The 14850-nt window shown below is 37.4% G+C and overlaps 1 long non-coding RNA gene across 5 annotated transcripts in view; it reads right to left on the reverse strand.

Moving 5' to 3' along the window:
- LOC105374497 (uncharacterized) overlaps positions 1-14850 on the reverse strand; it is a 291527-nt gene that overhangs the window by 206598 nt on the left and 70079 nt on the right. Inside the window, exon 1 of one of the 5 annotated variants that reach the window (XR_001739422.1) lies at positions 8208-9715. The exons of the other annotated variants lie outside the window; for them this stretch is intronic. This is a non-coding gene — a long non-coding RNA (uncharacterized LOC105374497). Of the gene's footprint in view, positions 1-8207; positions 9716-14850 lie in introns of those variants that run through there. 5 annotated transcript variants of the gene reach the window in all.

Here is a 14850-nt window from a genome sequence, read left to right on the forward strand (position 1 = left end):
TAAAAGTTAAACAACATGTTTCCCTAATTCCCTTTAACAGTCATTTTCTCAGAGGCAAAGGACCTGAGGCTTTCTTTTCTAATGTTTTTCTTACCTAAAAGATGCAAAATATTGCATTTACTAGTAAAATCCTGTCCAAATGCCCATTATTTTTTCCCTAGTTAACAGATGATGCACCAAATACAATTTTATTGCTAAATTTTTTCCTAATATATGCTTCCCTTCTGTTATCCGCAATACTAGCAAGGCTTTCATTATCTCTTGTCAAGATTACTAAAATAGTTTTTTAAGTGCTCTTTTGCCATACTTATTTCTTTAAAACCTATCCTTTCTACAGCCAAAGAAAGACTTATCTAAACACAAAACTTAGCTATGGCACCTTGAATTGTATTTTCACTTTCTGTGTTGTAGGTTAAAAATTTTTAAATTTCGGCCGGGCACGGTGGCTCACGCCTGTAATCCCAGCACTTTGGGAGGCAGAGGCAGGCGGATCATGAGGTCAGGAGATCCAGACCATCCTGGCTAACACAGTGAAACCCCGCCTCTACTAAAAATACAAAAAATTAGCCGGGCATGGTGTTGGGCGCCTGTAGTCCCAGCTACTCGGGAGGCTGAGGCAGGAGAATGGCGTGAACCCAGGAGGCGGAGCTTGCAGTGAGCCGAGATCACGCCACTGCACTCCAGCCCGGGTGACAGAGCGAGACTCCGTCTCAAAAAAAAAAAAAATTTTTTTTAATTTCTGCAATTGAATTTTACAAGCGTCCTTATTAGGCAACTTCAGGAGTTGAAGATAGTTAACAAAATTCCTAGTAAATAGTAAAAGCTTTGTACATATGAGTATATCTTATATCTTCTACTAAGTATACATTTGAAGACATTAATTGAATGTCTTCTACATAGAAAAATACATGTAGTAAAAAAATACATTTTTACTGTTACTGCTTGCATTGGCAATTTAGAACGTATCTTAAGCTAAGAATGCCACTAAACAAAATGTTGGAGAACTATAAATAAATCACATTTTGGAAAAAAAAATGATTTGTATAATAAAAACTAATGTCCTGGTATCAGCAAAAGATCAATATGAAGCAGATTATGGAGATTATTTTGATAAATTAAAGATGGAGAAGTAATGAGAAAAATGTAAGGGAAACATTAGTAAACATTTGGAATTAAATTACTGGTGGTTCAAAATTGCTTTCAACAGGAGAACATTAAAGTGCCTTCTTTATATTTAAGAATATTAGTCTAATACCCTGTGGAATATCGAATATGTCATTTAATTAATCAATAAATAATAAGACAAGAACAAAATTTGATGGATTCGGTGGAGTGTCTTGATGAGGCTGAGAAAGAATGGGGCTAATAATTCTGTGACATGGATTTCCTGGCACTAGAACTAGGCCTGCAATTCCCACATAATATCCTCAAAATGTTAAACAATCCCTTTGTCCATTTTGCCCAGCTCCAACAAAACTCATATTTGCATGACATTGGAAAGCCAGAAAATTCTAAGGTCAATGGAAATGTAAAGTAAACAATACATAGGAAGGGCATTCAGCAAGAAAGGTGGAATGATACTGCCTCATTTTAAACTCAATTGCTGTTGATACTGCTCCAGGCTTTAACTAAAAATTAAATAAACATATGAGCATTGCAAATGTAGTATTCAAAAAGAAAGAATCATCAATAGCTAAAAAATCAAGAAGGTTATAACTAATTTCTGTAATCTCAGGAGATGAAGAAGGGAATTATTTGTCTGGTCACCCAGACATTTTACTCTAAGCAGCAAGAAGAAAATAGGCAATTTTTTTTTTTTTTATGTGACGGAGTTTCGCTCTTTGGCCCAGGCCGGAGTGCAGTGGCGCTATCTCAGCTCACTGCAAGCTCTGCCTCCTGGGGTCACGCCATTCTCCTGCCTCAGCCTCCTGAGTAGCTGGGACTACAGGGGCCCGCCACCGCACCTGGCTAATTTTTTGTATTTTTAGTAGAGACAGGGTTTCACCGTGTTAGCCAGCATGGTCTTGCTCTCCTGACCTTGTGATCCACCTGCCTTGGCCTCCCAAAGTGCTGGGATTACAGGCATGAGCCACTGCGCCCGGCCAAACAGGCAATATTTTTTACATTTGTCTAGAAATCTCTTAAACTAGATCAGGGGTTCCCAACCCCTGGGCCATGGACCAGTATGGGTCCCACTGCCTTTTAGAGACTGGACTGCACAGCAGGGGGTGAGTGCTGGTTGAGCCAGAGTTACTGCCTGAACTCTGCCTCCTGTCAGATCAGCGGTGGCATTAGATTCTCATAGGAGCATGAACCCTTTTGTGAGCCGCACATGAGAGAGATCTAGGTTGTGCACTCCTTATAAAAATCTAATGCCTGATGATCTGAGGTGATCAGTTTCTTCCCCAAACCATCCCCCCCCACCCCCGACTCTGTCTGTAGAAAACTTGTCTTCCGGGAAACAATTAGTGCCAAAAAGTTGAGGATGCTAAGCTAGATCACCCAGTTACTATAAGCAACAATGTTGCCAAAAACTTGTGCTGCTACATAGCATAGATTCCCTTTCCTTAAATTTCCAAAGATATTTACCTACCCTCCTTCAAGCTTTGGCTGGGATCCTTATTAAAGACAACAAGGTCTTGTAATAGCTCCTTCAAGGACAAGATGCCAATAGGGATCTGAAGGAAGTAACGGAGAGAACCATACAGATATTTGGATGAAGAATATTCCAACTAGGGGAAGCAGAATGCACAAATTCACTGAAGTAAGGGTGCTTAGCATGTTCAAGAAATAGCACAAAGGCCAGTATGGATGCAGCTGAATGAACAAGGGAAAAATAGTAAGAGCAGAAGGTAAGAGCTGTAGCAAGTAGCCAGGCCATTTAGGGGCTTTCAGATTGTTGTAAAGACATTGGCTTCTCTCTGATTGAGGTAGGGAATTATTGGATGTAATGACATGTGGTGTAAATGATAAAATATTCACCACAGCTGCTATATGGAGTATAACTGTATAGGTGAGAGGATAGATGGCCGTGGTGGTATAAAGGTGAAATAGGATGCCACTTAGGAAACTTACCATAGTCTATATGAGAGATGATGGTGTCCTAAGATTGGTTCATGACAGTGAAATTACAGAGAAATTGTTGGATTTTGAGTATATTCTAAAGGAAGAGTAACAAGGTTGGCTATTCCAAGGAATTGATGGTCTATCCAAATTTCAAAACATATCTTGATGAGCTATTCAAACTTGCAGATAAACTTAATAATACTAAGTTTGGAATGCATGCTAGGCAATAAAACATTAATAAAGACAGTACATGTTACAGATAAATTAATTCATCATAACTATTAGCTTGAGTATTATGTATGAGAAGAAACCAAAAATACATTGGAGTTTGAAATGAGAGGGCAACAAAAACAACTGGAGAGTATCTTTTCTTAATCTATGAAGATTATTTTAATAACCCAGGCACAGTAACTTGTGTCTGTAATCCCAGCTACCTGGGAGACTGAGATGGGAATATCACTTGAGTCAAGGAATTTGAGGCTGCAGTCAGCTCTGATATGCCATTACACTCTAACCTTGTGATAGAGCAAGACCCCATATCTTTTTTAAAAAATCACATTTTACCTCATAAATATACACAATAATAACTTGTCAATTAAAATTAAATAAAAGTAATTTTCATATTGAATAAAGCAATATATGTTTGAAGAATTAATTCTTTACTCACCAGGCCCACTGCTATCACTGCCAGCATCTGTATCAATTTTTTAGTCAAACATTAGCTTGATACTTCCAGAGACCATTCCAACAGAGCCCTGGAGGCCACTCCTTCATTTTTTTTTGTGAGAAACTACAGAAGGTCAGATACTCTTCTTGGTTCTTGGGAAATGGAGTAGCAAAAAACCTTTCCCTCTTGGAGATTTTCTTCCTGTGGATCTATACCACATACTACTGGTCAGTTAATCACAAACCATAATTGTATAACTCTGAAGGCTTGAAATCATAAACATTTGATTGTAAGACCAAAGTTATACATTTGTAGAATATCAGGTTTTAATCCTGATAAACAGGCTATTTTGTGGTATAGCTATAGTTTGAGGTTAGAGAATACATCAACAAAAGGTACGTGCACTTTTTAAATAATTCAACTTCAAAATCAGGTTTGAAAGTTGAGAGTTACATTGTACCTTTCTTTACTCATATTTATACAAATACATTTGTTCTCACTTATCACAAAATGTATAGAACTGAAGGAACATTTGACAGAGAAACCAGATGACACCTGATAAATGATGGAGTGGTAAAGCATGAGCGCATGGTGGCTGCATTTATTAGATAAAGAATGACTAAGTCACTGAAAATTGTGCATCAGTAGTCAATTTCCAGTGGTTGTTAGTGCATACATCACCTTACTATTGACTATGATTTATAAATGCATTTTTTCGGTGGATAAAGACAAACTAATTCTAGAGTTTCTGTGGGGGACTAGAGGGGTGGGGCTTCAAGATGGCTGACTAGAGGCATCTGGTACTCACCTCCCCAACAAAGAAGAACCAAAATAGCAAGTAGATAATCACACTTTGACTAGATTGCCTAACAGAGAACACTAGAATTCAGCTGAGAATTAACAGGAAACACCTAAGGCAAGGAAGGAGAGTGAAGCGAGGCAGCCTGTTGGTCTGGGACCACTGGGAGCCTGCAAAAGCTCCCTAATGCAGGGAAAGGGTAAGGGAGTGACTCCCAATGGTCCACATTCCCACTGCAAACTCCTGCAATCCTAGACGCAGGAGAGCCCCTTAACCCACAGGGGCCCTGGGACTATTATAGGGAGCTGCCTGGAGACCGCACAATGGCATTGCTTCAGAGAGGAAACTCACGCTGGGTCTCACACACTACTGAGTCTTAAGTAGTTCCAGCATGGCACCATTTTGAGAACACAGCTCCCACCAGACTGCATACTACTCAGAGGCCCAAAGTCCCTGAATGTCCACATCCCTAGATCCCCACTGACATCCCTTGCCCACAGCTTGGTGTTGCTTCAGACTGCTACCACAAACATGGGGCACTGGTAGCAACCCCTCTTCCCCCAGCATCGGGACCACCACACACCTACAAGCACCTTGAGGAAAGAGTACTCCACTTGCAGCAGCCACCCTGGGCAAAGGGCTTCCTCCCAAGCCACCTGCTTATAGCTGCTGCCACTGTAAGAAAACTGGCCCTCCCCGGCTGCAGGGCCACACTGCAGCCACTGCTGTCCTTACCTGAGCATTCCACCAGAAACCTTACTACTGCCTCTTTGAGCCAGCACCCACACACAACCAGGGAGCCTGAGGCCAGACCCACGCAATCTGCCATTAAAACCACAGCTAGCACCCACCCACACGTACCACCTGTGGGCCTAGGAACTGGTCTGTACAACCCATCACAGCCCCGCTAACATTAGCGCAGAATGCCTGGAAGCCAGAGGGTTGTCCTACCACTGCTATTTCTATTGCCCATGCCATACCTACTGCAGAAGAACCTTAGAGCCTGTGCACCCACCAGGCTCACTGCTGTCACTGCTGGCACCTGAGCAGGCTGCCCAGAGGTCCCAGAATTGGCCCACCTGGACCCACTAACAAGCATATATCACCCTGGAGGTGAAGGATAGGCATGCTCAGTCCACCACTACCATCACAGGGGCCCAAAGACTGGTGCAACTGATGTCCCCATCTCCAGAGAAGCATCACCACAGTGTCTACTAACAACTCCACCTTAAGCCACTGAAGAAATCACAGACACTAGTCATGCTGTTTACAGCCCAATAAATCACACAGAGAGTAGACTACTGCACCCACCTGGAATCAAAACCATAAATCACACAGAGAGTAGACTACTGCACCCACCTGGAATCAAAACCAAAGTGCCCTACCCAACCAACACCATAGATAACTCCTCAGAAAAAATTCCTTCCACATAAAAGCAAATCCAAGAAGTTGAAAGAAGTGACTATTACACCAGATGCACAGATATCAACATAAAGACAAAAGAAACATGAAAAATCAAGGAAATATAATCCCTACAAAGGAACACAATAATTCTCCAGCAAGATTCCAATAAAAAAGTTATGAAATCTTATAAAATTTCAAATAATGATATTAAAGAATCTCAGTGAGATACAAGAAAACTCAGATAAATAATACAAAAAACAAAACAAAAACAGAAAAACATTTCAGGATATGAATGAGAAACTTACCAAAGAGATAGATATCATCAAAAAGAACTCAAAAGAAATTCTGGAATGAAGGAATTCATTGAATGAAATACAAAATGCATTTTATAACTTTGATAATAGACTAGGTCAAGAAGAAAAAAAGTATTTTAGAAGTTGAAAATAGGTCTTTTGAAGTAACATGGTCAGACAAAAATAATAATAAAAAAACAGTGAAAAAGAGTGAGTAAAGATTACATGACATAGGAGGCACCATAGATATTTAAATTTTTGGTGTCCTAGAATGTGAAGTGACAATGAAAGGATAGAAAATTGACTACAGAGCTATAGTAATCAAGATAGTATGGTATTAAGAAAGAATAGACAAATAGATCAATCGAACAGTATAAAGAGCCCAGAAAAAAATACATATAAATATAATCAGCTGATTTCGACAAGTCTACAGAGGCAATGCAATGGAGGAGAGTCTTTTCCAGAAATTCTGCTTTAACAAGTGGATATGCACATGTAAGAAAGTGAATCTCTAGACAGATCTCATGCCCTTCACAAAAATTAATTCAAAATAGATTACAGATTTAAATGTAAAATGAAAAACTACAACATTCATAGAAAATAGCAGAGAAAACATAGATGACCTTGGGCATGACAATGATATGTAAAATATAACACCAAAGGCATGATCCATCAGAGAAATAATTGAGAAGCTGACTTCATGGAAATTAGAAACGTCTTCTCTACAAAAGACACATCAAGAGTGTAAAAAGAGAAGCCACAGATGGGGAGAAATAGTTGTAAAAGACATCTGAAAAATTATTGTTATCCAAAAATATACAAAGAACTCTTAAAATTCAACAACAAGAAAACTAACAACCTGATTAAAAATAAGCTAAAGATCTGAAGAAACACCTCACCAAAGAAGATATATACATGGCATATATGCATATTAATAGATGCTTCCCATACTATGTCATTAGAGAACTGCAAAGTAAGACAATGAGATGATACTGCACACCTATTAGAATACCCAAAATTCAGAACACTGGCAACACCAAATGCTGGCAAGAATACGGAGTAACAGAAGCTCTCATTCATTGTTGCTAGGAATGTAAAATGGTACAGTCACTTTGGAAGACAGTTTAACAATTTTTTATAAACTAACATGCTCTTACCATATAATCCAGCATTTGTGCTCATTGATATTTACCCAAATGTTCACAAGTTTTAATAAATATAGCAGCTTTATTCATAATTGCCAAACTTAGAAGCAATCAAGATGTTCCTCTGTAGGTGAGTAAATAATCTGTGGTATATCCAGACAGTGGCAGACTATTCAGCATCAAAAATAAATGAGCTATCAAGCCATGAAAATATATGGAAGAAGCTCAATGTATATTACTAAATTAAAGAAGCCAATCTGAAAAGAATACAAACTGTATGATTCCAACACTATGACATTCTGGAAAAGGTGAAGTGATAGAGACAGTAAATAGATCAGTGGTGGCTAGGTAATAGCAGTCAGAGAGAGTTGAACAAGCAAGTTAAAATGTTACACATTGAGGTTTCATTTTTTTCAATAATATAATTAGTAGTTCATGATAAGGTTGTTTATAAAATTTAAAAACTGGAAATAAGCTAAATGTTCACAAATACAGAATTGAGTAAATATATTTTAGTCTAAAAGTTGTATTTGGAAGCAGCTGCATTAAAAGGTGTAAAGGCAAAAAAAATGTGTGAACTCTGAAAGATTCTGACTAGGAAACCTCTCAGTTTGAGATTAGTATTTTGAAGATAAATGCAAAGTATAGTTCCTATCATTTAATCATTTTTATACTGAATATCCAATTGAAGGGTGCTTTAAATCTGTCTTAAGGTAAAGGGGCATAGGAGATACTGCACATATGAAGAGGTCCTCAGTTTCTTTTAGGTGTGGTCCATAATCACTGACCCTCATCTGTAACATCAGTCTACTCTGACTCTATTTATGCCTTACCTGCTGTGTTAGAAGAGGCTCTCCTATTTAATCACTGAAGATTACTTCCTGGCACCTCCAGTCATCCTTCACCGATGAGTAGTTCTCTCATTTGTTCCTTTTGGATAGTCCTATGGTGTCTAGCCTTGGAATGGATTTCTTTTGTCCATGATGAACTATCATCCATGTTGTTAGAGTATTTGTTAGATAATCATTAAGTTTGCAAGGGATATTTTCACCTGGAATTGTAAATATAATCTGAGTATTATTGGAGGCAGTTCTGAGAATGAAGTAGAACTTGATAGAGTGTTTTTTAATGAGCAGCATCATCCTATTATGAAATATATCTTCATTATGAATCTTGTTCCAATGTCTGAAGTGGGTTCTATGTTTATTCCTTTTACAGAAGCAGCACTAGTGTTGCAGTATGCGCTTTAAGAATCGCTAGATGATAATTATATTTAAGAGAATGCATTGCTTATAGGTGAAAGATAATTTTTAAAATAGGAGATCAGAGTATTTTTTTTCTTCTCCTATTATAATACCTCAGTCATTAGCTGCTGACTTAACACTCAATGTTTGGGACAGAGTTATAATGGTATCTTGTAATAGTTGATTTTGGGCGTCAACTTGGCTGAATTAAGGGATACCCAGATAGCTGGTAAAGGATTATTCTCAATCATTGTATTATTCTCAGTGCTTCAGTAGACACTGAGCATATCCCTCTTCTGTTGAAAGGGAAACAAGATGGTTTGACATCTGATTAGAATTAGTGGGCTGTTTCAGGTGTGTCCGTGAGAGTGTTTCTGGAGGAGACTGGTATGTGAGTTGTTGGACTGAGTGGGGAAGACTCTGTTTTCAATCTTTTCTTGGTGGATGTGCACCATGCAATTGGCTGGGGACCTGGATGGAACAAAAAGGAGAAAGAGCCAATTACTGCTCTCTCTCTCTCTTTCTCCTGCTTCTAGAACTGGGATGCCCTTCTTTTGCCTTTGGACTTTGAAACCCCAGGTTCTCCCGCTGTTGGACTCACACCAGTGATTCCCTGGATTCTCAGGTATATATAATATACCTCCTATTGTTTGTGCCTCTCCGGAGAACACTGACTAAAATAGATTTTTGTACTGAGAGTGGCTCCAGAGAAACAGAATTTTCAGGATGAGTTTCCTTAATTGTTTTTCAGGTTTCTCAAATTGGTCCTTTAATCTGATTGGATTTAAACATACTAAGAATTCTACTTCCAATAGTACAGAGAGCACAGATAGTCTATGGCATGAACTGTTTATAGAGATATGCAAAATAGCTGCACTAGATACTCCTAATTAACCACTTATACGAGGCAAGAAACTTAGTAACTATATGGGATACTTTCAAACATTTTTGGACAACTAAGAAATATGATGTTGGTTGGTTGCTCCTATTGTCATTGGACAAAGTAATTAGAGAATGATCTCAGAGATTCAAATTCCTGTCTTCACATACTTATAAATAGCCTAAAAGCTTCTAAGTACTTCCTGAAGGAGAATTTTCCCTCCTCTAGCCACAGGGCTAAAATTGCTGAAAAAAGTCAAACACAAATCCTCATCATGTAATTGACTGAATTACAATAAAAGTTGAACTTCCGGCCTTGCAAAGTATCTACTGCTGAAGTGACAACATTGATTGGGAAATAATGGAATCTTGCAAATTGGGATGGAGATGTGTGGGTAGACCCTATTGAAGCTAAGGATATTGGACTCCTACATTTGGATGAGTCTTTTTTGTCTCCCTCACCCCAGAGGCAGGGGCACCCCTACCCACAGTGATATTGGCCCTCATACTGCACTGCCTGAGAAAATGGTAATGGTCTCCCCTGAGGCAACTGCCAAGAAAGACAACGCTGATTTCCCTCAGGATCCACTCTCACCATTCTACTCAGTACCAATTTCTGTCTTAGTACATTTTTTGTGCTGTTTTAACAGAATATCTGAAACTGGCAAAGTATAAAGAATAGGAATTTATTTCTCACAGTTACAGAAGCTGGGATATAGTTCAAGGCACCAGCAGGTTCCATGTCTGGTTACGGTACGGTCTACATCCAAGATGGTACTGAGGACGCTGCAAACTCTGCAGGGGAGAAATGCTATATTCTACCATGGTAGAAGGTGGAAGGGCAACAAAGGGAGACAACTCCTTCAATCAAACCCCTTTATAAGGCCACCTAATCCCATTCACAAGGAATGAGACCTCATGACCTAATCACCTCTTAAAGATCCCACCTCTTATCCATCATATTGGCAACACCTGCGTTTTGGAGAAAACACATTCAAACCACAGCAAATCTTTTGAGTAGTATGATAGTGTTAGTGGGAGCATCAGATTTATGTTTAGTTAATAATAATAGTCCAATTAATACATTTGTCTGGCATCATCCTAGGTCTTTTCTCATATTCCGTAACTTAATCCAAACAAGCAGGCATAATTTAGTCCTATTATTCAAAAAGGAAAACAAACATGGAGAGATAAAATAGCTTGCTTGCAGCATGACAGACTCAGTGCATAGATTCAGGTTTTTATTCTTAGCTCTGAATTTTCTGTCATACCACACAGACTCACTTACTATTCTGTGAGGAGGATTCATACCCTTAACCTTTAGTCTTAAACATCTGTGACAGTTAACACCAGAGACGACCTGTTAATCTTATTGTATTCTGTGTCATTATTTGTAGAATGCCATTTAATCTGAGGATTAAGGGGACAAAAGTAAGCACCCAGATACGTTTCACAATTAATGATTCAAAATCTTTGACATTCTTACATACTGAGCTTTATTTTTAAATGATGGATTTTTGTATCAGTTTCCTAGGGGTTTGAACAAAAGCCCAGAGAGGAGTTTGGTTTGCTCCAAATTGAGCTAGATTAAATTATATCTTGTCTTCTGCCATGCAGTGGCCTGGAATTATAAATAGTACTAATATGATTGCCCTTGTTCACTTTGATATACATATGACTACTAAAACCAACTTAAATTAATTAAACAAGTTTTAATTTGATTTTTAACCTTTTAAGCAGCCTAAAATAAGAGAGAAGATCTAATTTGGAAACCAGAGCTTCCCAAGATAGAAAATCAAATTTAACCCATATAAAGAGTCAGATATTAACTTGACTGGAAACACATTTCTATGGACTAATTTATGCCCTAAAGAAAGATCAAAAATGTTAATCCTGTACCTTGGGGACTTGGAATTAGGAAATATTTATTGATAGACCGAAGAACCTGGGTTCAGGCTCAATGGATAATTCTGCTCCAGGATGAGCCCTTATTTTTCATGGCAAGCCACTTTGCTTTGGTTTCTTTTTCTTTCATTCTTTATTATTCGTATGCCTTTTTCCTACACCCCATGTGGTAGGAATATTTTATTATAGGTAGTGCTGGGGTTGGAATAGGACTTGACAAAGTGTTTTAAATTACTCAAAAAGGAAATACATGATCTATTAATAAAAGTGCTACTGATAACAGCAACAATAATAATAATGCCAGGATTTATTGAGTGTTTGCTATGTCCAAGACCCTATTCTAAGTGCTTTAAATCTGGTAATTTGTTTAGTACTTTAACAGATAAGTTACTATTATCACCCCGATTGTAACAATGAGGAAACTAAGGAACAGAGAGTTTCGGTATCTTCACCAAGGAACACCAGCTGGTTCATAGTGGAATGAAAATTTAAACCCAAAATGTCTGGCTCAGGAAATGCTAGGAACACTCTACTGTTTATGTAAGATTATCTATGATTTATGGTTTAATCTATTATCTATGATTTTCTAAGTCAGTATTGAGAGGGTTGCTAAAAAACTCCTTTGAAACCAGGCAGGATCATTTATGTTTAACTATTTTCCTAAACCTAATTAGCAGCAGAGTAATTGCCTTCTTTTCTTATTTTATCTGCTATTATCTAGTAGATCCATGCATTCAATAAATACCTATTGAGAACTGATTCTACAGGTACACAGATTAACATGACATGTTCCTTTACATCAAGTAGCTTAAAATTAAACAGGCAGAAAAAAAAAAAGCAAATGGCAAGTTCTAGCTAAGGACAAATTGAAGGGTACCGTGAGAGTCCGTAGGAAAGACTCATAACATGGTCTTAGTAGGGATGAAGAAAGGCTGCCCTGAGCCCTTCAACAGCATGGACTCACGCATATATACTACTCCTTCCTCATTGTGCCATTGACTTCTTTCATTCAGTCAACAAGAATTTATTGGGGTCCTGCTATGTGCTAAGCATTCCTCTGGGCACTGGTGCAACTTAGCATTTACAGAGGGAGACAAACATACTTTAAGTTAAAAAACATTATATGTCAGATGATAATAAGTGATATATAGGAAACTAAAATAGAAGGGGTAATAGAAAGGTCCTGGGTGAGTAATGGGGCAATTTTAAATAGAAAGACCATATTTTATATGGAAGAAAATCCATGAAAATAAAAATATTGGAGTAAAGAGCAAATATTGATGAAGAAGAGACATTCAAATTCTTGTGGAAATGCCAGTTTCAGCAGTAAGAAAGAGAGAACAAATACAAAGGCCCTGAGGCAGAGAATTTCTGATATGGTGCTAGTTCACCAATGAGGCTACTGTAGTTGAAGGGGCATAAGTAAGGAAGAGAGTAGTAAAAGTTGAAGTCAGAGTAGCAATAGAGGCACCAGAGGCAGGGGCATTCCTGGTGGGGTGGGGAGGTGGGGGGCTCTCCTGCGCTGCTCATGTCTAACTACCTATTGTAAGGATAAGACTATCTGGAGGCAAAACATACAAGAAATGTTATATTCTACGATGAAACATCAATACATTCCTTATAAAATCCATGTGCCTATCATGATCATTTCTATTCAAAATTATTCTGGATATTCTTGTGCTTCCTATACTTTAATAAGCACATGGATCACCTAGGGATATTTTCAAATTTCACATTCTGATTCAGTTCACCTGAATGTGCATGAGATTCTGTATTTCTAGCGACCTCCACAGTGATGACAATGTGCTAGTCTGAGGACTTCATTTAGGTAGAAATACCCTACCTAGTGCAGAAAGTCAAGAAGAAAAAAGAAGAAAATAAGAAAATTAATAAGATAATAAAAAGACCCTAGTTCTCCAGAGTTAATATACATTTTTACATATATCAACACATGTAAAAATCAACAGACTGTATAGAAAAATTATTAGAACTAGTAAGAGGGTCTAGAAATATTCCTAGACACAACTACAATAATTAAATCTAGTGACATTTTCATATAAAACCTACAGATTTATAAAAACTTAATTCTAAAAGAAAATATTTATTCTTGCAACAAAATATAACATATTAGGATTAAAACACACAAATGTGTAAGAACATTATGTAGGAAAGTATACAGTTTTTGAAAAAAAAACAAATATCTAAAAAGTTTGAGAAACTTAACATGTTTATGGATAGGAAGTCATTAATATAAAGATGTCATTCTCTCCAAAATGATCTCAATATTCAACGTATTTCCAGTTAAAACACCAAAAATACATATATTTTAAAAATAGAAGATGATAGGACGATTCTAAAATTAGCAGAAAAAGGAAAGGAGCTAATAATAGGCAAGGTTATTCTGAAGAAAGAAAGCAAGGTGAAAAGATTGTTTTCAAACAATGTCAACGTGATAAAAAATATAATAACTAAAACAATATTGACTCGTGGTAGATTAATAGAAAAATGGAACAAAATAGGAAGTCCACAAAGCAAAATCACATGTATTTTTGAAAAACTAATATAGAGATGATTCTCTATATCAAAGGTAATTAATGAAGTTTTGACAAATTGTATTGGGACAGTGTTTATATATTAAAAAAAGAGTCGGTTCTATTATTTCACAATTGACCAAGATAATTTGCTTAGCCAAACTTTAATCAGGCTTCTAAACTTTCTATTAGGCCCATCTGTGCACATCTTATAAAATCTAGTTTTAGCAAAGAATCCTGCTAAGTCACTTTAGCAAGAAACCCTCATCCTCAATATCTGATCATTCTTAGTATCTGATCAGGTTCCTCATCCTCCACCATTTCCTAGGTGATGTTTGATCACCAAGGCCTGTCTTAAGCAAGAATTCTGTTTAGTTGTTTTAGCTGTAATCTCCCTTACCCCTGATGCTTCTCCTTAGTAATTTTCCAACCACTGACCCCCACATTGCTCCTTGTCTATAAATCCCCACTTGCCTAGGCTGCATTTGCAGTTGAGGTCAATCTCTCTTCCATACTGCAAGACCCCCTCACAGTGGCCCCTATGCCTATTGCAGTGGTCTTGAATACAGTCTTCCTTACTGTGCTTTAACAAGCATTGCTGAATAATTTTTCTGTAACACAGTACAAAAATTAATTCCAGGGAGATGAAAGTTGTTGATATGAAAGAGAGAAATTCAAAGCTATTAAAAGGCAATATAAAAATATCTTTATAGTTTCAAAGGGGGTGTAGATGTCTAAAGATGCTAAATAAAGAAACGATTTCAACAAAAAAAAAATCTAAAAGTTTGCAGAAGCCTAAATTACTATATATAAACATTAATCAGGAGATAATGTTTGTACTACAAATAACTGGCAAAGGATTAGTATCTAGAACATACAATACTCATAGTATCCAATGAGATGAAAAAAATCAACCT

The sequence above is a fragment of the Homo sapiens genome, chromosome 2 (assembly GCF_000001405.40).
Source record: "Homo sapiens chromosome 2, GRCh38.p14 Primary Assembly".
Lineage (NCBI taxonomy): Eukaryota > Metazoa > Chordata > Mammalia > Primates > Hominidae > Homo > Homo sapiens.